Source organism: Homo sapiens, chromosome 18 (assembly GCF_000001405.40).
Source record: "Homo sapiens chromosome 18, GRCh38.p14 Primary Assembly".
Taxonomy (NCBI): Eukaryota; Metazoa; Chordata; class Mammalia; order Primates; family Hominidae; genus Homo; species Homo sapiens.
In genome coordinates, this window is record NC_000018.10 from 62315999 (window position 1) to 62340415 (window position 24417).

The 24417-nt window shown below is 44.2% G+C and overlaps 1 protein-coding gene across 8 annotated transcripts in view, besides 2 other annotated features; it reads left to right on the forward strand.

Moving 5' to 3' along the window:
- Positions 8944–9153: a silencer, noted in NCBI's record as "silent region_9504". NCBI's record gives its function as "represses an Ori minimal core promoter by ATAC-STARR-seq in GM12878 lymphoblastoid cells {active_cell/tissue: GM12878}" and the evidence as "EXISTENCE:reporter gene assay evidence [ECO:0000049][PMID:35858748]".
- Positions 9204–9403: a silencer, noted in NCBI's record as "silent region_9505". NCBI's record gives its function as "represses an Ori minimal core promoter by ATAC-STARR-seq in GM12878 lymphoblastoid cells {active_cell/tissue: GM12878}" and the evidence as "EXISTENCE:reporter gene assay evidence [ECO:0000049][PMID:35858748]".
- The window catches only part of TNFRSF11A (TNF receptor superfamily member 11a), a 65979-nt gene continuing 50873 nt past the window's right edge, over positions 9312–24417 (forward strand). For 6 of the 8 annotated variants that reach the window (XM_011526244.3, NM_003839.4, NM_001270949.2 and 3 more), the window contains exon 1: positions 9312–9429. In XM_011526244.3, the coding sequence (XP_011524546.1) occupies positions 9355–9429 (75 nt within the window). In that variant the 5' untranslated portion in view covers positions 9312–9354. Of the gene's footprint in view, positions 9430–19876; positions 20390–24417 lie in introns of those variants that run through there. The other 2 variants (XM_011526245.3, XM_017026064.2) reach the window with 2 other exon arrangements.

Genomic DNA, 24417 nt, shown 5'->3' on the forward strand with positions numbered 1-24417 from the left:
ATATAAGCAATGTACTTCTAAAAGAAACCACAGGTTAAGGAAGAAATGACAATGGAAGCTAGAAAACTTATTTATTAAATAATAAAAATATCAAACTTGTGAGATGATACTGAGCTAAAGCCATGATTAGAGGGAAATGTACATACAGCTTTAAATACATAGATGCAAAAAGAAGAAAGGCTTAAGATCAATTATAATCCCAGCACTTTGGGAGGCTGAGGTGGTTGGATCACCTGAGATCAGGAGTTCGAGACCAGCCTGACCAACATGGTAAAACCCCATCTCTACTAAAAATACCAAAAAATTAGCCAGGTGTGGTGGCGCATGCCTGTAATCCCAGCTACTCGGGAGACTGAGCCAGGAGAATCGCTTGAACCTGGGAGGTGGAGGTTGCAGTGAGCCAAGACCGTGCCACTGAACTCCAGCTTGGCGAGAGAGCTAGACTCCATCTCAAAAAATAAAAAAAAAAAAGCAAAAAGATCAATTATCTAACGTTCATTTCAAGAAGTTTGAAAACAGCAAAGTAAGCTGAAATAAAGAAGCAGTACAGATTAGATATTAGTGAAATAGAAAACTCAAACACACAGTCCAGATCAACAAAGCTGAGTATTTTATTCTAGCTAAACTAATAAAATTGATTAAGCCTAGCAAGACTTAGCAAGAAAAAGAAAAGGCATAAATTACCAATATGAAAGATGAAAAAAAATCTACAAACCCCAAGATATTCAAAATATAATACAAAGATATTATGAATAACTTTATACCAATAGATTTGAAAGTTTAGATGGAATAGATATTATATTTTAAAAATATTCCTACTTTTACAAAAAAGGAAAACTACTTACCAAAACTAACACAAGGAGAAATGTAAAATCTGAGTAGTTCTATATCTAGTAAAGAAATTGAATTTGTAATTTTAAACCATGCCACAAAGAAAAAACAATGCTCAAATAGCTTCATTAGTGAATTCTACCAAGTATTTAAGGAAAAAATAGTACCATTCTTGTATACACTTTCAAAGCTCTCCACATATTCCACAGTCCTGGCCAGCAAATCCCTGACTTCAAAATCTGACAAGATCCAATTCAGAAGGAAAGTAACAGGCCAATCTCATGAACACAGATGTAAAAACTCCTAAACTAAATATTAGCAATCTGAATCCACCAATGTCCAAAAAGAATAAAACAGCTTTACTATGTTGAATTTATAAAAGGTATTCGAGGTTGATTTAACATTCAAAAATCACCATATTAACTGAACAAATATGATCATCTCAATAAACACAGTAAAAATACTTGATAAAATTCAAAATCTATTTATGAAAAAAAAAACCTCAGCAAACTAACAATAGAAACTTCCTTACTTTGATAAGGATTATTAGCTACGAAAAACTATAGCAAACATCATACTTCAGAGTAAAATACAGAATTAGGAATGAGTCAAGGATACTTGCTGTTACCACTTTTATTCAACTTTGTACTAGAGACCTTGTTCAGTGCAACAAGTCAAGGAAAAGAAATAAAAGCTACAGGAATTGGAAAAGGAGAAATAAGACTGTCGTTATTTACACACAACACAATCGTGTACACAAAAAAAAAAATCTTTTTAGAATCTACAGATAAAGGCTAGGCATGGTGGCTCACGCCTATAATGCCAGCACTTTGGGAGGCCAAGGTGGGAGGATTGCTTGAGCCCAGGAGTTTGAGACCAGCCTGGGCAACATAGTAAGACTCCTGTCTCTCCAAAAAATTTTAAAATATTCAGGTGTGGTAGCACACACCTATGGTCCCAGTTACTCAGGAAGCTGGTGTGGAAGGATCATTTGAGCCCAGATGTTTGAGGTCATAGTGAGCCATGATCGCACCACTGCACTCCAGCCTGGGCAATTGAACAAGACCCTGTCTCTAAAAGGAAAAAAAAAAGAAAAAGATTAAAAAAGAAAATCCACGGAGCAGGAGAATATATTTGTAATACATACAACCAACAAAGAAATCATATCGACATTATACAAAGAATTCCCACAAATCCATAAGGAGGACAAGAACCCAAAAGAAAAATGGACAAAAGACTTGAATCAACACTTTGCAGAAGAGGATAACCCAATGGCCAATAAACATATGAAAAGACACAGGAAATAAAATGATACTAATGATACATCATTAGATGTAATGTTACATTATTACAATGATGCATCATTTATAATGATGTATCATTAAAATGAAATAATAATACTCTACACCTACTTAGAAAAGCCAAAATTTAAAAGTCCAATAATATCAGATGTTGACCAGGATGTGGAGCAAGTGCAACTCTTCAGACACTTCTAAATGGGGGTGGAATTTGTACAACCACATTGGAAAATTGGCAGTACCTACTAAAATTGAAATAGGTCTCCCTATGACCTAGCAAAACATGCATTTCCACAGAAATGCATACATATATTCACCAAAAGACATCCATAAATGCTCATAGCAGCATTATTCATAACAGCCCCAAACTGTAAATAACCTTAATATCCTTCATCAGCAAAATGAATACATTGTGATACATTCATACAATGCAACACTATCCAGTAGTAACAAGAATGAATCTTGTAAAATATTAAATAAAAGCCCTACACACAATACTACGTACTACAGTATAGACTTTATGAAGTTCAAAAGCAGACAAAACTAATTCATGATATTATAACTTAATCTACAAGGAGGAAGGATACTGACTCAAGTGAGCATAAGTGGGCTTTGGGGGTGCTGGTAATGTTCTACTTTGTAATTTGACTGCTGGCTATATGTATGTTTTCATTTTCTGATGATTCAGCAAGCTTTACACTTTGTGTGTTATAGTTCCAATAAAAAATATTTTAAAAAACAATTCTATCTCAATCTAGATAACAGCATCAGTTGTCTATTAAGGACAGTCTGAACCTGACCAGTCTGAAGGTAGAACTTTGCCATCAGCCTATAGGATAACGCCTGTGCTTCTGTTCACTGATAAGGTGCATACAGCCACGTCCTCCAAATGTGGCATAAGATCATTAGAGTTAAAAAAAAAAAAAAGGAAACAAAGGAGATACAAATTATGTCCCTGTTTCCGCTAGATACTACTTTATCTGTAACAAAATATCCAAAAAGTGTGTGATAACTACTAATATTACTCATACAGTTTAGAAATTCATGTATTTTGAATACCAAATCTGCACAACTAAAGAAATTATTGTCTACCAAAGTGAGGCAAGACAGGTGTCATGTATACAGTTTAAAAGTTTTCATGTTATGTTGGGTATTATTATGGGATAGTGTTGCACCTTGATTAATCTCTGAGTCAACACAAATTTATCATTGGTTTACCTTTGTAAAAAAAATATATATATTTCTTACTACTAGGAAATACGAGAGGAAAAACAAAACATTACAGGGTGGTTGCTGGGTGCAGTAATCACACCTGTAATCCCAGCACTTTGGGAGGCTGAGACAGGCAGATCACCTGAGGTCAGGAATTTGAGACCAGCCTGGCCAACATGGTGAAACCCCATCTCCACTAAAAATATAAAAATTAGCTGGGCATGGTGGCGTGCACCTGTAATCCCAGCTACTCAGAGGCTGAGGCAAGATAATCGCTTGAACACAGGAGGCAGAGGTTGCAGTGAGCTGAGATCGCGCCATTGCACTCTACCCTGGGAGATAAGTGTGAGACTGGGTCTCGGGAAAAAAAAAAAAGGCCGGGCACAGTGGCTCACGCCTGTAATCCCAGCACTTTGGGCGGGCAGATCACGAGGTTAAGAGATCAAGACTATCCTGGCCAACATGGTGAAACCCCGTCCCTACTAAAAATACAAAAAATTAGCTGGGTGTGGTGGCGCGTGCCTATAGTCCCAGCTACTCGGGAGGCTGAGGCAGGAGAATCGCTTGAACGCAGGAGGTGGAGGTTGCAGTTCGCCGAGATCATGCCACTGCACTCCAGCCTAGGAGACGAGAGCGAGACTCTGTCCAAAAAAAAAAAAAAAAATTACAGGTAGGTAATAAAAACATTTTTATTTATTAATAAGTTTTCACTATATGCAAGATTCGTAAAGTCTTATGTTTGCATAATTAATTTAAGTCTTTTATGTATTCTCTTTAGCTCTATACCCAGTAACAGCAACTATATATATAGCACCACATGAAAAAAATACATAAACTGAACAATTCTTATTCTTGCTGCGATTGATAAGCATCTCATTAACAAGATTGTGCCTGTGCTTTCTGGTGCTTAAATGAAGACCTGTTAAAACGTAAGATAATCCTTGCAAGCCATCCACTAGAAACAAAAATTATGGCTACATTTTCATTTTACTTTTTTAATTCTGAAAACCAAACACTTCGTGCAGAATTGAGAAGTGGGGATTTCCAGCATGAGGTGCACACTATCCATGTAGAAGAGTTTTCATATCAATCTATGATTCCTGAATAGGTATAATGTGCTCTTTTTTTCCCCCAGAGAAAATAAAGAAGTTCATTGTCAGTTGATTACTTTTTAAAAATGGAAAACATTTAGCTTTAATAAATATTAAAGCTAATATTTTTAAATATTGTTTAAAAATATTTTAATTTTGAAAATTGTTTAAAATATATTTTTACATTTGTTACATATAACTAAATTTTATTGTATATGTGCTTATAAGTGTGTGTGTGTGTGTGTGTGTGTGTGTGTGTGTGTTGAGACAGAGTCACCTTCTGTTACCCAGGCTGGAGTGCAGTGGCGCAATCTCGGCTCACTGCAACCTCCGCCCTCCTGGGTGCAAGCAATTTTTGTGCCTCAGTCTTCTGAGTAGCTGGGATTACAGGTGTGCACTACCACGCCCGGCTAATTTTTGTATTTTTAGTAGAGACGGGGTTTCACCATATTGGCCAGGCTGGTCTCCAACTCCTGACCCACGTGATCCACCCACCTTGGCCTCCGTGCTGGGGTTACAGGCGTGGGCCACCACACCCCGCCAAATGTCGGTTTTTAAAATCACAAACAACATTGAAACTAGTTTTTGCAAATGAGAGCAATCACCTTAGCTATGTGTTTATTCTTCAGTGAATATAGAAAAACAGTATTTGAGATCAATTACTTCCATGTTTCTCATGATAATGCTCTATGTATAGGAAAGATAACATCCTCAAGCCTATTTTCTTGGATTTTATTATTGTATTGTATTATACATTAATATTTATAAAATATTGGAATTATTTGAGTGATAGTTCTGTAGAGATATCTTTAAGAGTAATTTAATTTTAAAAAATTTTAAATTATTAGTAGATTTAATGTGTTAACATAGGCATTCTGCTGTTCAAAAGTGCTTCCAAAATCAGCACACTCACCTCTGGGGCTTTCCAAGCAGAAGTTTTAAGTCCCCTACTCTTCTTAGAAAATAGAAGGGGGTAATGTTGGAAGTGTGCCAGGAGTAAGCCTTGGTATTTTTCATGAAGTGCCACGGTGAAAGTACCTTCTCCCACAAGTCAGTTCCTTTTAGCAAAATAATAATCTCATCTAGCTTTCCTAACCGTGCTTTTCCCAGAAAGCCTGTCTCCTCATTGAAGATGGCGACACACTAGATAATTCAGTATTATTTTGTCTGTGCTTGTGACCATTCCTGTACTTACTTCATTTAGAGTTTTAACATCTATTTACCAAGTTTACACAACTGCCAGTTAAAAATGCAAAAGTGCATTTTCCTCAATGTAAATAGTTTAGAAACATCAAAAATAAAAGTGTGAGTTTCTCCTTTTCCTTCTGCCGCTCACCTGATGTTAAAAATGTGGTGCTTAGTGAAGCAGGACTCCCACCCCCGAGTCAGAGAACCAGGATTGGAATCACAGCTCTGCCACTGATTGGCAAGTGACTCCAGGTAAGTTTTTAATCTCACCGTACCTCAGTATCCTCATTTGTAAAATGGAAGTAGTAATTGTACTCTTTACACGCCTGTTGTGAGGATTAAATGGATTTTTAAGTGTGACTATGCTATTAGTGTTTCCTATTATCCTTTCTAGAAACTTTCTTTGCTTATATAGATAAAATCATGTTTACGGTTCTTTAGAAACATGGGATGATATTGCTCTGTAACTTACTTCTTTTACTTCATAATCATGAACATCTTTCCAAAACTACATAATATTCTTAAGTAGCTGCATTATATTCAAAACTGTGATAGGCAATAATACTTTCCACCATTTGTATATTAACAGCTATTCACATTTTTTCTTTTTGTGGTTTTATAAAAATGCTATACTAAACATCCTTTTGTCTCTTTCTTTATGTATTGATATGTTTGATTCCCAGATACAGAATTGCTTCATCAAATGATATTTGCAATTTTTAATTTTTAAAATCAACACTGCCAGATCACTTTCTAAAAAGCACAAAAGCAACTCAGCAGTGCACCAATTAGGCTGTACAGTAGGGAGTTAAAAAGCCAGCCAAGTAGTATGACTATGGTAGCACAAAGGGAGGGAGGGAGAAAGTGGCAGAATTTTATCTGAAGGTAGACTGTGATAAATTATGGATGTGCATTGTAAACCCAGAGCTGCCACCAAAATAATAAAACAAGGATGCATATAAAACAAACTAACATGAAGAGAAAACAGAATCCTAAAAATGCTCAAACCAAAAGAAAGTAGGAAAAGAGGAAAAAAAGGAACAAATAGAAAAACGGATGGAAAAAATAGAAAAATAGCACAATGGTAGACTTAAACTTCACCATATCTATAATCGCATTACATGTGAACAATCTAAACACTCCAATCAAAAGGCAGAGATTGTCAAAATGGGTAAAATGGGAAAAAAGAGCCAAATGTAATGCTGTCACTTTAAATGATATAGATAAATTAAAAGTAAAAAGATAGATTGAGATAGATCATCTAAATGCTATTCATAAGAAAGGTGAAATGGCTATATAATTAATATCAAAGTGGACATGAGAATTTGATTTTACCACCAATCAAGGAAGACATATAATAATGATAAACGTCTCAATTCATCAGGAAGACATAATAATTCTAAATGTTTATACCTCTAAGTAGAGCTTCAAGAATATGAAAAAACTGACAGAAATAAAAGGAAAAATAGACAAATACAGTTATTGTTGGAAATTTCCACACTTTTTCTCAGAACAAGTAACGGAAAATCAGTATGGATATTTCAGCCTATTTGACCTGATTGACACTCATAATGTACTTTACTGACAACAGCAAAATACATAGCTTTTTCAAGTGCACATGGAATTTTGACCAAGATATGCCATGTGCTGGGCTAAAAGTAAGGCAAGTGAATAGTTCTGGCAATCCAGGAATTCAAAACAGGTTATATTCTATTGGCATGGGACAAGTATCTTCATATAAACAGTTACCTTATGATATGGTTTGGCTCTGTCCCCACCCCAAATCTCATCTTCAATTCCCACGTGTTGTGGCAGGGACCTGGTGGGAGGTAATTGAATCATGGCTGCAGGTCTTTCCCGTGCTGTTCTTGTGAAGTGAGTAAGTCTCATGAGATCTGATGGTTTTAAAAATGGGAGTTTCCTTGCACAAGCTCTCTCTTTGCCTGCTGCCATCCAGGAAAGATGTGACTTGCTCCTCCTTGCCTTTCACCATGATTGTGAGACCTCCCCAGCCACATGGAACTGTAAGTCCGTTAAACCTCTTTCTTTTGTAAATTGCCCTGTCTTTATCAGCAGCATGAAAACGGACTAATACATGATACAAAGGAGGGATTATACGTATGGATCCAACATCGACCTAGAATGTGAGGAAAGACACAATCCTAAGCAAGTAATGACAAACAAAAACAACAGGATGCTATTGAGATGGAGCAGGAACCCATCTTAGGAGCCTGTGGAGCACCCCTAAGCATGGAAATAAAGGAAAATCTTGAGTTCCTTCAAGGGAAATTCCAGGTACCTAGCTAGCCCTAAGAAGTAAATAAGTAACTTGATAAGCAAGAAGGTAATTATAGCTTAAAACAATAACCAAGGAAGTTAGATTCCCTATAGAAACGAAAGATAACATCTTAACATATGTCCCTGAATTGTTTCTCAGAAACCCAGACCCCCAACAAAACAGATCCACTGGCATGCAGACCTCAGACAAGGGGGAAATGAGGACGGAACTGACCACCATTCTTTCTTCTAAATTTCTTCCTGAAGGGCAAGGAGGAAGTCACACCCACGAGCCAGAGCTAACATTCATTTTTGCTGACCCCAAATTTTTAACAAAGCTTCTCTTCCTTCACTGATGGCAAGTCAGAAAATCTTTGAATGTATAACCTATAAGCACCCTCACTTTAAAGATTTTCAAGATATCCCAGCTTGTTAGACCAAACCAATGTGCAACCTCCGTGTATTATGATTTTGCCTGTAACTTCTGCTTTCTTGAAATTAACCCTGCGTTTAAAAATCCTTACTTGCAAGCCAACTGAAGGTCAGGATTTAAGCAAGAGCTGCCCCATTCTCCTTGCCTGGAGCTCTGCAGATAAGCGCCCTCTTTTCTCCCAGTGCAAACCTTAGTGCGGATGGCTTGGCCTTACTGCACCAGAAGAACGGACCTCAGTTTTTAGGTAACACTGTGCCCCAGACATCTGGCCACTTTATGTCTGAAAGGGCCAATGTGGTGATGGGGGCTGGGGGACGCCTCAAGGCTGGCGGAGCCTGGTGCCTTTCTAGAATTTGGTGGGTGCAGGACGGGTGAGGGGCGGAGGCAGAGGATCAGGAGAAGAAAAAGAGATAGTGGCTGCTGGCCCCAACATTTTGAAGCAAAGAACAAGAGGAGTATTTTACGAAGATTGGCGGATGGTGTATTGTGTTGATGCCTTAACTGCAGTCGACGAAATCTCCAGGAAGGATCCTCCTCCCGTTCATTCTCGACGGTGGCGCATCCACTTTCGGAAGGCCGGGCCTCGAAGGGTGGGCGCGCGGGGCAGGAGCAGGACCACCCCGATGCCCCCATTCCTTCCCGGGAGGCGGGGCCCACAGGCCTGGGGTGCGGCAAGGCAGGAGCCAGTGCCGTGAAGGGCAACCCAGGGCTGGTCTCCCGCCAACCTGTCTGCAGCCCGAGCACCTGGGCCAGGGGCGGAGACCGGACCAAGGAGGCACCGGGCGCGGCGAACACCCCCGGGGCCCCTCCCCGAGCGGGGCCCCGCGTCCCACCGCAAACCAGGGGAGCTTGGGCACCACCTGGCTGGCACCGCCGGGCCCGGCCGGAGGGGGGCGCAGGAGGGCGGCGCGGGGGCAGGTGCGGGGCGGGGCACGGGGGCGGGACCACACAGGGCCGCGGCAGCCGCGCCCGCTGGGCCACAGAGGCCGCTGAGGCCGCGGCGCCCGCCAGCCTGTCCCGCGCCATGGCCCCGCGCGCCCGGCGGCGCCGCCCGCTGTTCGCGCTGCTGCTGCTCTGCGCGCTGCTCGCCCGGCTGCAGGTAAGGAGCGCCCGCGCCTGCCGGGCCGCGCGGCCCGACGCCTCCTCGGGAGCCCCGGGAAGGGCCGGGGCCGGCGGCATCCTGGCTCCTCCGCCTTCCGAGAGGAGCCGGAGTTTTGGGGAGCGGAGGCCGTGGGAAGCTGGGGAGGCGCTTCCAGAGTTGGACGGCGGAGGGCGGGAAAGGGCAAGCGGAGGGAAACTGGGGCGCAGAAGGAGCAGGTTGGCGGGACCGCAACACCCGAAACGGGCTCTTCCAAAAGCCCCTCTTAGCCGCAGGCTTTGATGCTGTCATTTTCTCCAAATGCTTCTTGAGCACCTACTAAGCGCTTGCGCCGGGCGGTGCCGCGGGAGACAGCGCCGTGGGCACCTCACTTGCGGCAGATAACCGTTCCCGATACGATTTCTCCCGGGTGGCCTCCGTCCCAAATTTCCACCCGGAAAGAGACATGATTCCCTCCGTCCCTGAACTGCGGGCTTGCCTTTGCCTCCCCTGAGCCCCTTCGGGGACACCCCTGCCAGCTCGCCTGGAGGCCCCGCACGGCGGGGAGAGACTGCGCGCGCGCCCCGGGGATGCTGGACTTGACCCTCGCAGACCCGAGTGGCTTCCCGGTCCTCTCGGAACAGGTTTCTCAGTACAGTTAGCAAGCGAATGCAGCCAGGCACGGACTTTCTGCCTCGTGGAGGAGGGCCGCAGAGGGAAGCACACCCAGCACAACAAACGCTTTAAAAATCGTTGATACGAACTTGAAAGCTCTCACAGGGAAGGGCGAGTGGTGGTTTTCTTGGTTTCGGCTGGGTCAGATTTCCCCTCTGTTAACACTAGGTTAGGCTGCTGCCGTCCCTCCGCAGCCGGGCACGGAACCCGGAGAGGCGTGGGGAGGGACGCATGGAGAATCGTGTTTGGGTGAGAAGAGAGGGGAAAAGCCTTGACAGAAATAATGTGGGTGCACTGAAGGCTGAAGCAAAAGATTCTAGGGAAGATTCATTCCCAATTGTATGGGTCTGTCAGTATGGTTGAGGGAAACGAAGGCGGAAAAGTCTAAAGGATTTTTTCATTTTAAGCACTTCAGGTGTTGCTTAATTAAGTGTTCAACAGGTTGAACGGGGTGCTACCTTATTTGAACCAAAGGACCAGGGTTTCAGCGAACAGCTAGCCACCTAAGAAAAACCTGCCTGACCACGCAGTTGCAAAATTATCTCTCACTGCTGTCGCAAAATGACATATTCATATGTGCATAAAAGGCGTTCGGTTCTAATATGAACAACAAATGCTATCAAAATAAGTTTATTTTTCAGGGAGACCTTTCAACAAATGCTGTTTCCCGTCTTTTTGCCTTTAAGCCCCTTTCATTATGCATGTTTAAAAATGTAAACTTTTGCATTGGTCATTTCCAATTCTAGGGGAGCGAACCTTCTAGGAACCTTATGAATTCCTTGGCTGGGCCACGAATTCAATTGATATAAGACAGACTAACAGGAGAAAAACTGTACTTAATTACATACATAGGCACAGGACTCCTACAAAATAAGAGACTTGAGGAAGGGTCAGATGATTGAAGCTCATTATAGCATCCATAGGGGCTTCTGCAGGGTGCTGCAAAACAGATTTTGGGGCGGGTTTGGGGAGGAAGCATATGGTGAGTAAAGGACATCTTGTCAGGCACATAAAAGATTCTCAGGCAATAAAAATGGTCTCTGACCAGCCCTTCGGAGAATAGGTGAGAGCCTGTGTGGGCTGGTGTCAACCTCCTGTCTCCTCTCCTGTAATCGGAGTTAATCTTCTCTGGGTGAGAATCTTCTCTGGGTGAGAAGATTCCCACGGCGGAGATTTGAGACATTTGAGTTCGTTTTGGAGGATCTTTCTTTGGGCAGAGTTCAGAGAAACCTCTGCCCGTGGCCACTACCACCTGCCCTGAGTTCAAAATAATCAGCACACCATAGTGGCATATTTTGGGGTGGCATTTCCTGAACTCTTTCACAATCAAGTGACATTGGAATGCTTTTCTGCTTATTTTACTTGGTGCCCAACCTTCCCAGTAGAAATGCATTTTCTCTCAAAGGTGAGACTAGATGCAGCCTTAAAATAATATTTCCTAGAGATACTGTGGTTATCTAGGAAAAAGCTCTCTCTGTATTCAATGACTGCTTGTTTGGCCAGCCTATTCCATTAGCTCAAAATTTAGGAATGGCATTGACAGTTCATTGAAGATGTTAATGATCAAACACCAGGCAAGACTTCAGGAACTGCCTAGTGGGTAAATTGGTTTTGCAAAATAGTTGGCATAAATGGCTTCCAGAAAGTGCCTTATCTGTAGGGATCGTATTTAGTTTCATTTTTATTATATTAAATAGGTTCAAACTTACCTGAAAGGCTATAAGTTTTGCCCTTTAAAACATTTCTATGATTATATCTCTGCCTGCTTGTATTTGTGAGGGAATTCATTTTCAGATAGAATAAAACTATTTGCCTACAGATAAAAACATTTTGAATTTTTATGTAGCTAGTCCTGCTGTTTATTCCAGGTAACAAAATATAGATGCACACTGTTTTCATTAAGGTAATGGATTGTACACGGTCATGTTTATCTGGGGTTATAAGATGCAAGAGCAGGTGCGTGCATACGCAGGACAACAGACATTGGTGGTGTCAAACACTGTGCTAATGAGGAATAAGGGGAAGGCGCATGGGTCACAGTCTAGTGGAGAGCGCCAGATGGGAAAAGCTGTGATGATAAGAGAGCAGCAAATGATAAGAAAAGTACAGAGGGTGGCAGAGGAAGGGAGAGAGGGAGGAGGGGAGGGAGAGAGGGAGGGAGGACCGCTGGAGGAATCCCTAAGGACTTCGGGATGAAGGGGTTTCCCAAGTGGTCTTGGAAAGATGTGTGGGAAACCAGAGGTCAGGGAAGAAATGATTCTAGGAGGTGGGAAGAAAGCTCCCTATGTTGGGAGGATGGTGTGAATGCTTTAGACCTAAAAGAATCTTACAGAAAGAAAGAAAAAAAAAAACAACCATATATTTTTATGACCTTGCAGATAGCACAAATCACCTAATTCAGGAAACCCCCACCAAACAAATTGGGCATTGAACTTTTATAGTTTTGAGGTAACTCTTGGATGGCCCTTACTGAGGTGGTAAAGTCGACTAATCAGAAGCAGGCCACAGGGCCCTGGAGCGCCCATGGGGAGACCCCTCCGAAGAAATCCCCCAGGGTGTGACTCTGGGTCATAGGGTGGGTGGGTGCTCTGTGCCACCTTTCCTCCTGCCCCCCATCCCATCCGAGAGGGGAGACATGGATATATGCAGTCATGCCTTGTTTGGGGAGCACAGACACAGATCTGTGGGCTTACAGTTCATTTTGCTGAGAAATATTTCAAATGCCTCCCCTGTTATTTCCTTTCTACCACTTCCCCCTAAAATGGCAAACCTGTAATAGGAACATACTCCCTGTGTTGATAAGGAAATAGCTTGCTTTTTCAGTTATCTACCAGAACTTCTTACATCAGGAAAACTGAAACAATAAAAATGTGCCTTTGGAGGTCAATAAATCAGTGTTTTATGAGGACATGAAAAGGGGAGTTCCAAAGCAGGGCCTCCTCTGCAAAGAGTGTTGTTTTAAGAAGGGGTAGTGTGGACTTCATCTGCCATGTCAATATTAAAATTTCCCCCATTGTATTTTCCTATTTTTGAAGTTCATGGAAAAAAAAATAGTGTTTTTCCCACATGCTGTATCCAGTGGTCTCTAGGAATGTTGTCTAGGCCATTTTTTGGTTTGTTTTTTGTTTTTTTGGCTGATGTGAGTCTGCAGCCCATCCTGATGGTACGCAACTGTCCAGGTGGTTCACTCCCTAGGGCATCTGCCCCCTGGCCAGGTGGCCCATGGCCTGACTGCTGTCTCCTCACAGCATCCTGGCCTTAGTCCACAGGGAAGCACACCTGCCTCTGAGCACACAGGCTGCTGACTCCAGCTCAGTGCACCCCAGGACTGGCATGGGTAGGATTCTGCCCAGCAGGTGATTTTTCCTCTGAGTACCCTTTCATTCTCTGCCCGGATTGTGGGACGGCCTTTCTGTGTATTTCCCTCTAGTTGCAGTGTGGGGCTTTCTATGGTGTCCACTGCTGGAAACACAGTTTAAGTTCAGCTCACCCTTTGTGCCCCAAAACGCTAAGCTTGAAAGAACCAAGAAGGAGCCGTGGGTTTCAGCAAAATAGCCTTGATCCCTCTGAAGTTCTTAGTGAACTTTTGAGGTTTAAAACCGAGTGGGTGTGGAGCAAGATTACGCACAGCCCCATATCTCTGTCCTGATTCTGAGAGACACTCTATTTCCTGCCTGCGAGACCAACCTGGCAGCGCTCCCCAGGCAGGCTGCCTGTCTGCCTGGGTCACCAGAAGCTCCTTGTCAGAGGGCTGACTGGTGCTGCTGTTCTCACTGTGTCACGTTCCAGTCGCAGTGTGCTCTCACGCCAAGAAGCCCAAAGCAGCCCCAGTCAGCAGTGGGAAGTACATTCTTTAGGGCCGTGTGATGATGACTTTATATGTGTGTTTGTTTTGTGAGCCACCGTCGACTTTCAGCCTTTGAGTGCTTTGGGTCACTGCTTGCAGGCCACAGCATTCGATAATGAGAAAATAAACCTGAATTTGTGTTCAATGCATTCAGTGACTGCAACAAATGGAGTACCCACAACCTGTAGCACACTCTGCAGTGGACTGAGGAAACAGAGACCAAGGGCCACAGCTCCTGTCTTCAGGAGATTGGCAGTCCAGGTGTGTGCAGATGATTAAAAGACAGCAGGATCCGGTGTTCTGGGGAGGGTTTTCAACTTGTCGTGGGCACACAGGATAAGGAGTGCCTTCACCTGAAAGTGTCAGAGAGGACTTCCCATCCTTCCTGTGTGGTCACATGTGTCTAAAGCTCTGCAGACCGCATGAGAGAACAGCTCTTAGGCTGGGGGTTCCAGAATGACCAGTGCTTTGTCTGGCGGTGAGAACAGCAGGGACTCGCATCAGAGTGGAGTGTTTGCAGGGAACCGAAGGAAGGACAGGATTCCTGGACTCAGGGGTGTGGGGAGAGAGGAAGGCAAAAGCCAGCACTCAAAGGCTTTAGGTACAAGCAAATAGTTCAGATTTAATATTGAGCTGTGAGCTGGAGAGGGCCATGATCAGTTTTGTGTATTAGGGGAAGAGTGTCCAGGGGCGGGCCGGAGGGGGCCAGTAAGGAGCCTACTGCCTTGGTTTGGGAAAGGGCCTGAATCAGGTCAGGGCAGTGGCGAGAGAAGGAGAATCTGAGTACAGGGGCGATTTCAGAGCCAGTGGGGCTGTGCAGGGGCAGAAGGTGCAGGGGCAAAGGACGGATGTGGCTGGTTATTAGAAAAAAAAAGACATGGCAGGCAGGTCTGAGTGCAATGGTGTTTACAACCAATTAATCACAACCAGTTAACAGATTTATTTGTTCCTTCTCCACTCCCACTGCTTCACTTAACTAGTAAAAAAATAAAATAAGGCCGGGTGTGGTGGCTCACGCCTGCAATCCCAGCACTTTGGGAGGCCAAGGTGGCAGATCATGAGGTCAGGAGTTTGAGACCAGCCCGACCAACATGGTGAAACCCCGTCTCTACTAAAAATAAAAAAATTAGCCCGGCGTGAGGGTACATGCCTGTAATCCCAGCTGCTCGGGAGGCTGAGGCAGGAGAATCGCTTGTATCCAGGAGGTGGAGGTTACAGTGAACCGAGTGGCACCACTGCACTCCAGCCTGGGTGACAGAGCGAGACTCCATCCCAAAGTAAATAAATAAATAAATAGTAAATAAATAAATAAATAAATAAGACACGGCAGCTGTCAGGACAAAAAAGCTGGCTGTTTGGGTTATATTTTTCACTTTATTAAGGAAATTGCTGTCTTAGTCCAAATCAAAATGTTGTTCTGGTTCAAGTGAAGAAGTGTTGTTGTTTTTCCCAAACAAAAAAGAAGGATTACGTTTAGGCTCTTGAATCTCCCCTTTTTTGGGTTCTCTTATTGGGAGGCAGAGACAAAGTTCATTAGACCCTGTAGAGGCAAACATGGTAAAAGCCCCGTGGCATTGTGCTGTGCAGGGAACTTGCAGGCTCTGACATCTAGAGAGCCATTGCCAGACCTAGAGATGTCTTGGAATGAGAAGTTCAGCGTAGAGACAGAGCTCTTAACACACACTGAAGAGAGATAAACAGCCAGTGATCCCCAGAGAGTCACATCAGAGCAGAGGCAGGTGTGACCTGACCTGTGGTCTTCCCACACTGGCCTCAAATATGTCACCTAACCCCAAAAGAAGCAGTGTTTATGTTGGACCAAGAGCTGCGCAAAAACTGTTTGCTTGCATGATACACATTTTCCTGGCACATTGCCGCTGCCTAAGATGAGCGTTTCCCTTCCTCTGTGTCCAGTGCCTCTTAGACTTCCCCATACCCCCAAAAAATCCTGACCCAGCAGGTGACACGGAGGCCCGTCTGGCACCAGCAAAGGGACAGAGCTGCCAGATTTCCAAGTATCAGGAAGACCTGACTGTAAAAACCACCCTTTTAGTTCATCAAAGTAATAATAACTTATTACATTTCCTGTTGAGAGTGTTGAGAGTACAAGAGCCACTTCCTCAAGCTATCAGAAATTTGAAGACTTTCCATGAAAAATGAGGAAGAAAAACTCTGTTTAGCTCTTGGTGAATGTGATGGCTAAGCTGGGCAATGGGGAAAGATTGTGTGGCATTGCCAGAAATCCTACTGGCACCACTGTGTTGGCTGGTTTGGGGTTCGCATCACATCCCACAGATGGGAAATGGACCACTTCCCTAAAGTATTGACTTTTTAAAAATATGTATTACTTACCTAATGCAGTTAGCACCTAACTTAATAGTGTATCACGTAGTAGCACAAACAGCTGGCAAGTTCATAGCCAGTAAAAGAGACGTTTAAAGGCCCCTGTCTTCTCTCAACTTCATAGTCAGATATACAAGCAGGATCACATCTAACACTTTCATGGTAATTGAGAATCAATTCCATTTTTAAAGCTTAGTCGAGATTATTCACTTCTGCCCTTGCTAACCCGTTTCCTTGTTGAATAATTCCTAATATCAGGAACTTCCCTCTAACAGACCTAAATCTAACATGTCACAATTTGACCCCATTTCCTCAAATTTGTTCTTTAATGGGGTAAAAACCAGTTGGTCAATGTCTTCTTTATTTTAATATTTCTATTGTTGAAGATTGTTAGCCCACAACTTCCCCTTCCCCAGGGTTATTCATTCCAGTTCCTTTAACCTCTTTGTAAACTTTTTTTTTTCTTTTCAATTCAACGAGATACTTTTTTTGGATTTACTGGCAAAAAAGCCAACAACCCCAAACCAAACAAAACCCACCAAGTATTTTGGGAACATCAGACTCAGGACGTTGCTGCCTCTGACTTCAGAGAGGCTGAGATCTGATGGGGAAGGTCGGATGTCCCATTCTTCGTTCCCACGGAGCCCCACAGGAGGAACACATGAGATGCCTCTAGGACACAGGCATGGGAAGGATGAGTTCCGAGTGGAGAATCGGGCAGGGGGTGTTTGATCTGGTCCTGGAAGGATGGGTGTGATTCTGAGAGGAAAAGAGAGCTGGAGGGAGAAGGGCAGAGGTGGTGACAGGCATGAGAAAATCATGTCCCGCCCTGATGTGTGGAGCCCAGGACTGATGACAGGTACCGGGGAAGGATAAAGCCAGCTGGGAAAGTCCTGGAGGCCTGGATCACAAAGGGCTTGCGAATAAACCTCCAGAACTGGGACTCTGCCCTGAAGCCAGGGGTTCTCCAACTGTGGGGTCTGGGCCCAGCATCAGTCTCCCCCGGGAACTCGTTAGAAATGCACCTTCTTATGCCCCCCACCTACCGAATCAGAAACTCTGGGGGTGGGGGCCAGCAGTCTGTGGCTTCACAACCTCTCCGCTGATTCTGACACATGCTCAAGTTTGAGAACAGCTGCTAGAGACCCCGGGATTCCATGAAAAGGTTTGCACTCAGCTCTGACAATATTAGAAGATTAATATATTACAAGTACCGGCCATCTGTTGAACCCCTCCTGTGTGCCAGGCATGTACTTTACACGGATTATATCTAATGCTCACTCCACCTTGCTAGTAAGTTGAGAAAACTGAGGCACAGAGAGACTGATTAACTTGCCTGAGTTTGCACAGCTAGTGAGTGGCAGAGCTGGAGCTCCTACCAGGCAGCGCTCCAGTGACTGTGGTCTTCACCCCTCAGGTAAACTGCTTGTATAGTCAACTCTGTGATGGGGTAGGGAGTAGAGAAAGGGACCTCCCAGAATGGTGGGACAGAAAGCTTTTTGGTATTTGGGGACACCCATGCAAATGCGTGCCCAGTCTGCATTTGTGGGGGTCTGTCTTGTCTGCTCAAGTATGTACTCACTGAGGGCTTTCTAGAACTTTTTTTTTTTTGAGAAGGAGTCTCACTCTGTCGCCTAGGCTGGAATGCGGTGGTGCCATCTTGGCTCACTGCAACCTCCGCCTCCCCCATTCAAGCAATTCTCCCTGCCTCAGCCTCCCGAGTAGCTGGGATTACAGGTGCTCGTCACCATGCCAGGCTAATTTTTGTATTTTTAGTAGAGACGGGTTTTCGACATGTTGGCCAGGCTGGTCTTGAACTCTTGACCTCAAGTGATCTGCCCGCCTCGGCCTCCCAAAGTGCTGGGATTGCAGGCATGAGCCACCGCGCCTGGCCTCTAGAACTATTCTTAAGCAGAAATGGCAATGCTGTGTCTTTAAGGCTAATCCAGATAAAAGGCACTCCAGGCACTCTTGGCACAGGGTCCATGTGCCAGTTGATCCCTGACTCAGGAGGAAAAGAAGTGTATGTCTTGAATCACCACCACTTCCTGAAGCCAAGGCAGCACTGGCTCGTCTATGCCCCACACCCCAGAGTTAGACTATACCGTACCACTGTGCTGTAGCCCTGGGTGTACCGCCTCAGAGGGTCGCATCTCTCCACGCGTGTTCATCCCACTCCCACCACCTGCCAGGCTCTGTGTAGGGTGGGAGGAGGGAGAAGGATGGCCTTGGAGCCCCAGGGCAGCAGACAGTGATAGGTTAAACCTTTGCCCTCATAAGCTTTCGGAAGTAGGTAGTTATATTTTTAAAGGTCCTTTATGTCTTAGTCTTACTACAATTATAGCTAATCTGGGGACTCTTCCCTTGATGAGAATAACCTGGGCTCCTCTTTTGACATGTCTCTACCATGGAACAAATCAAAATCATTTTCTATTACTAACTTTTTTTGATCCCTTAAAAGACACTTTCTAAGTAGTAAGAGAAAAGTTCAAATAAGAAAGAGGGTCAGAACACACATGGCCTCTGGGTCACGGTCAGTCTCAAGCTTTTACTTGGAGTGAGATCAGGAGACACTAGCGGGGTTTAGGGGGAGAATGACAACATGGTGTCACTAATGCACAGTGGCCAGAAATCTAGCAGCAGATCCCCAAAACCTATGACAATGGACTGTGAGATCAAGGGGGCAGTTAAATTCAGTGAAAACACAGCTGGAACCTCTGTCTTAAACCTTAACCTATTAACTTCTGTGGGTCACAAGGTTTAAAAGTGGAAAATTGCCCCTTTCTAATGGGCTGAAGTTTCTGTGCTCCAGTTGGGTCCAGTTGGAGGTCCCTGTGACCAAGCCACTGGGGTCGGAATTTTTTTTTTTTTTTTGTTACCCAGGCTGGAGTGCAGTGGCGCGATCTCAGCTCACTGAACCTCGCTTCTCGGGTTCAAGCAATTCTCCTGCCTCAGCCTCCCAAGTAGCTGGGATGACAGGTACCTAACACCACATTTGGCTAATTTTTTTTGTATTTTTAGTAGAGACAGGGATTTACCATATTGGCCAGTTTCGAACTCCTCACCTCAGGTGATCCACCTGCCTTGGCCTCCCAAAGTGCTGGGATCACAGGCATGAGCCACCACGCCTGGTCTGGGATCCAATTTCCATGTAAAATTGCAAAAGACCAAGCACCAGAAGGCATAACCAGTCATCTTAACTGTGTGGGGCAGTCCTCATGGGTAAGGGGACTCAAGGTGGTGGGCACCTGCCCCTCTGCACCCAAGGGGTGAGGTCACGCAGAAGAGGCCTCATGGGAGGCTCTCCATTTCCTGGCATGAGTGACGGGCACAAAGAGGCTGAAACAGCTGTGTCTCCTGTTAGGCAGCCCCGTGTTCAGTCCTTATTAGAAAAGAGAGTTTCAGCCCAGAAAGAGATTGCTAATCTTGATTTTGCAACCCTCTTCCCTCAGGGTATCTCGGATTTTGTCCCAAATCAGTGGAGTCTTTCCAAGGGCGTGCTTGGGAGTGTGAATTTGATTCAGTGCTAGAAGGAAACTGTTACAGTCTTCTGTATAGGGAAGTTATGAGGTTACAGTGGTCTTTGAGAAAAATTATTTATTAATTTATCAAGTATTTGAATATTTGCTACATGCCTAGCACTGTTCCAGTCTCCTTATCACCAGCCATCTCAGCAAGTTGATTAATCTCTCTTGGGAGGATGCAGGAAGGGAAGGGAAGCCAGGCCTCCAAGCACAGTGCCTGGCACGTAGTAGATATTTCACTAGGGCCAATTCTTCCTATACCCCCATTCATCAATAGATAAATAGATAAAAGGTGTCCAGGGATGGGAGAGGTGGTTCTCAATGTCTATTGTACAGTCAGAGATGACTATGCAGTGTTTGGAAATAGGAGAAAGTCCTGGTTTTTGGTTTTCAATAAAATCTCTAGCCTGCTCCTCAGAGACCGGCATTGACCTTGCCTGGGAGCTTGTTAGGAATGTAGTCTCAGGCTCTGTTCCAGACCCAGGGAATCAGAACCTGCATTTTAATAAAATTTTCAGGTGATTCTGCGCACATTGGAGAAGCACTGGATTTCACCCTGAAGGCTGGGCAGTGAAGGAAGGGAGGGCAGCAGGTAAGGGGAATGCTTCCTCCTTCCGTCACTTTGGGGACTCCTGGCCTGAGCAGTTCGTGCAGCCCCAGCATGGAGGCAGAGCCTAGAGGGACGTGGCCTCCAGCCGGGGGTGCACTCTCAGAAGTGACCACAGGGCTTGTTGGCTTCTACTACGGAAAAGAAGAGAAAGCAGTTCTTATCTGAAATGAATACAAAGTTAAAGAAAAAAACAAACCCCAAGAATGACAATGTAAAAAGGCTTTCACACTGGGAGAATAAAGGGGCATTCACTGGAGCCTGTGGAAATAGGGGTGCATCGTAACATAAGGACAAGTCAAAGCCATCCTAATTACTGTATTGAGGAAACAACCGGCCTTGCCCTTGGATTCCAGGTAGCCCAGGGCTGCAGACTCTTCACTCTTATCTCTCTGGAAGACAAAGACACTTGCAATTAAAGTTTTGAAACGCAAGCTTGTTTCTTCATTTTCCCTTGGGCCATATGTTTTCTTTTCAAGGAGCAGAGATAATAAATGCATTGTGAGGGGAGTAAGGCAGAGGGCTGAGTAAAAATCAACAGACCATTGATGGGCGCCTGAGTCAGTGCTGTGCGCTTTCTTTCCTTTAAGAAGCACATCTGGAATCAAGGTGGTCAGAGGGGGAAATGCTGATGGGCCCAATAACAAGCAACTTTCAAGACGGTGTATAAAGTCAATTGTGCAGTTTGCTAAATCAGAATGGTGAATATGTCAGGACTTCTAATCACAGTTACCTATATTTTTAAGTTTTTGTTTTTTATCAAACCCGACCTAAGTTAGATTTTTTTTCTGTGCATACTATATATTCCAAAAAAAGAACTTGTGACAAAATGGTTAATATGGCAAATTTTTATGTTATGTGTATTTTATCACAATTAATAATATATGTTTTAAAAATCTAGTGGCAAAGGTGGTAATTCCTGCCTGCTAATGAAAATAGCATGAAGTGCCTAGTATTTAAACCTTTATGGGGTAATGGCAATGTCCAATATGATCAATACCACACAATTCTGACGGTATGGGTGTATATTAACTCACAATGCGTATAAATTAGTAATCAGTTATGTGACCTTATACCCTACCCACCTCACACTGCACTTAGTCACACGGGCTATCTTGCTGTTTCTCCGTCAAGCCGTGCATGCTTCCTCCAAGGGCCTTGGCAAATATGTCCACCTGTAATCCTCCTCCTGGCACGTGCTGTACATTTGGCTTGTTCCCTGGCTTTAAGCAGGACTCCACTCAAATGTCATCTTCTCAAAGAGGCTTCCTGTAATCATACCACCACCTTACATAGATTGTTTCACTTTTTTCATGACAATTGTTGCGACCAGATTTCCTTATCTGTTTACTTATAGTTGTTCTTCTCCCCTGGACTGTAAGCCAGGACTCTCTCGGTTGAGTTCTATCCACTGTATCCAGAGGATCTGAAATTGTCCCTGGCGCATAGTATGTGTTCACTTAATTGGGAAATAAATGAATGTGTATCTGATTGGTCGACTTTCAGGTTGTGAATTCAGTCAGTGTTGTCAGCAGCTAAATCAAATCCTGTGAACAGAACTAGGCAAAATTAAATTACCCTATGAAAACGGACAAAGGACTTGAATAGACATTTCTTCAAGGAAGATACACAGGTGGCCAATAAGCACAAGAAAAGATGCTCCACCTCATTAGTCATTAGGAAAATGCAAACTGGAACCACAAGGAGATACTACCTCACACACATCAGGATGGCTATTATTTTAAAAACCAAAAACCAAACAAAACCAGAAAATAACATGTGTTGTTGAAGATGTGGAGAAGTTGGAACCCTCATGCAGTGCTGCTGGGAATGTGCAATGATGCCACCCCTGCGGAAAACAGTTGAGGGGTGGGTGCCTCGAAGAGCTAAACATAGAATTAACTTAGGATTCCTAGGTATAGACCAAAAAGAACTGAAAACAGGGATTCAGATACTTGTGTGCCAGTGTTCATTGCAGGATTATTCACTGTAGCCAAAAGGTAGAAACAACCTAGGTGTCCATCAGTGGATGAATGGATAAACAAGATATGGTCTATACATGTGGTGGAATATTATCCAGCCATAAAAAGGAATGGCGTTCTGGTACATAATACAATATGGATGAACCTTGGAGACATTATGCTAAGCAAAATTCGCCAGACACAAAGGGAAAAATACTGTGTGGTTCCACTTACATGAGGTATAGAGAGTGGTCAGACTCAGAGACAGACAGTAGAAAGGTGGTTTCCAGGAGCTTGAGGGAGGGGGAATGGGGAGTTACTAGTTAACGGTTACAGAGATTCTATTTGGGGTGATGAGAATGTTCTGGAAATAGATAGTGGCAATCGTTGCTACTTATTGCCCCTGAATCATACTTTAAAATGGTTAAAATGGCAAATTTTGTATCTATTTTCCACAATAAAAAATATTAAATGGCCCCAAAGTTTTTTTAAAAAGGCATTCAAAGGACAGGCATAAAAAGAGCCTAATTCAGTGTTTGGCAGTGGGAGACAGCCCTTTCTCGCCTCCCGAAATGAGCTGCATTCCTGGCCTCCTGCAGATTTTGCCATCCAGAGTTGCCACTTTGCTGTCGGCTCCTGCCTGCACTTTTCGTCTCCATCTCTGTTTCCTCCATGAGATCCTAGCCCAGGCTCTGTTCTTGTCTAAAACGAGTTTGCACCTTCTTGCGCTTTCTCATCCCAACAGTCTTTACAATATGTTTCATGGTGCTGCTAAAAAAAGACCCTCCCTTCCTTCTACAACTCACTGACTAGCTGCCCTTTCCTGGAAGCCCCGAAGCAGCCCCCACCTTTTCCTTCTACTGTCAGAACATACCTGCCCAGCCCCCCAGGCTCTCCGCCTGCACCTGCCCGAGTCTCCCATTTGCTCTGTCCTCTCCCTCCTCTCGAATCCTTCTGTCTCTGCCCCGCAACCTCACCCTCCCCAGCTTGTGCACTTCCTCTTGTAAGTCCTTCCCTATCTCTGTCTGTTTCCCTGCCCATTCAAAGCCAAGGAAGACGTGGACACCAGTCTGAGGCCAGGGTTGCAATTCTCCTTCCTCGTCCACGATCAGGGAGGATCTTTCCAATGCATTAGTTCTGGCACTGCTGTGTGGGGCTCTGACTGGTCACAGTTTTCCTTCCTCTCTATATGTGGCTGTGTCCTCCTTTACAAAAGCTGTGAGAGGGCAGAGACAGGTCCTGCCTTCAGTCCTACAGCAAGCCAGGACCTCATGCAGGTATGGGAGAGAGCTCAGTGAAGATGCCTTTGACAGTGTGATGACAGCAGAACTTCGTAAAGAGATTGATACTTCCTCCTGTTAAACTCTGACTACATCAAACTCTATCTTCTGGAGAAAAATCATTTTTCGAGATAAAGGCGAGTGACTCAGGCAAAGGTGAATGACTCAGACTCGCTCTTACCCGGTGATTAAATGAACTCAACAGCCTCTTTGCGGGGAACAGTATGTGTGTGGGGAGAGGACTGATTCGTTATTTGTAATTTTCAGTGAGACCAGTAGAAGCTGACCAGCTGTGATGAGTGCTTTTAAGTTGGAGTTTTGAATACTTTTTATCACTAGATAGACATTCATAGAATGCATTTTAGAATGTCCCAAATCCCTAGGCCTTGTAGTCCCAGCTACTCAGGGGCTGGCATGGGAAGATGGCATGAGCCCAGGAGGATCACTTGAGTATGGGAAGATTGCTTGAACCCAGGAGGTCGAGGCTACAGTGAGCAGTGATCACACCACTGCACTCTAGCCTAGGTGACAGAATGAGACTCTGTATCAGAAAAGAGTCCCAAATCCTTTATCATTCGTTTTGGGTTTTCTTTGAAACAGGGTCTCACTCTGTCACCCAGGCTGGAGTGCAGTGGTGCAATCACTGCTCACTGCAGCCTCAACCTCCTAGGCTCAAGCGATCCTCCTGCCTCAACCTCCTGAATAGCTGGGTCCACAGGCACACGCTACCACACTTGGATAATTTTTAAAGTTTTATAGAGACAGGGTCTCA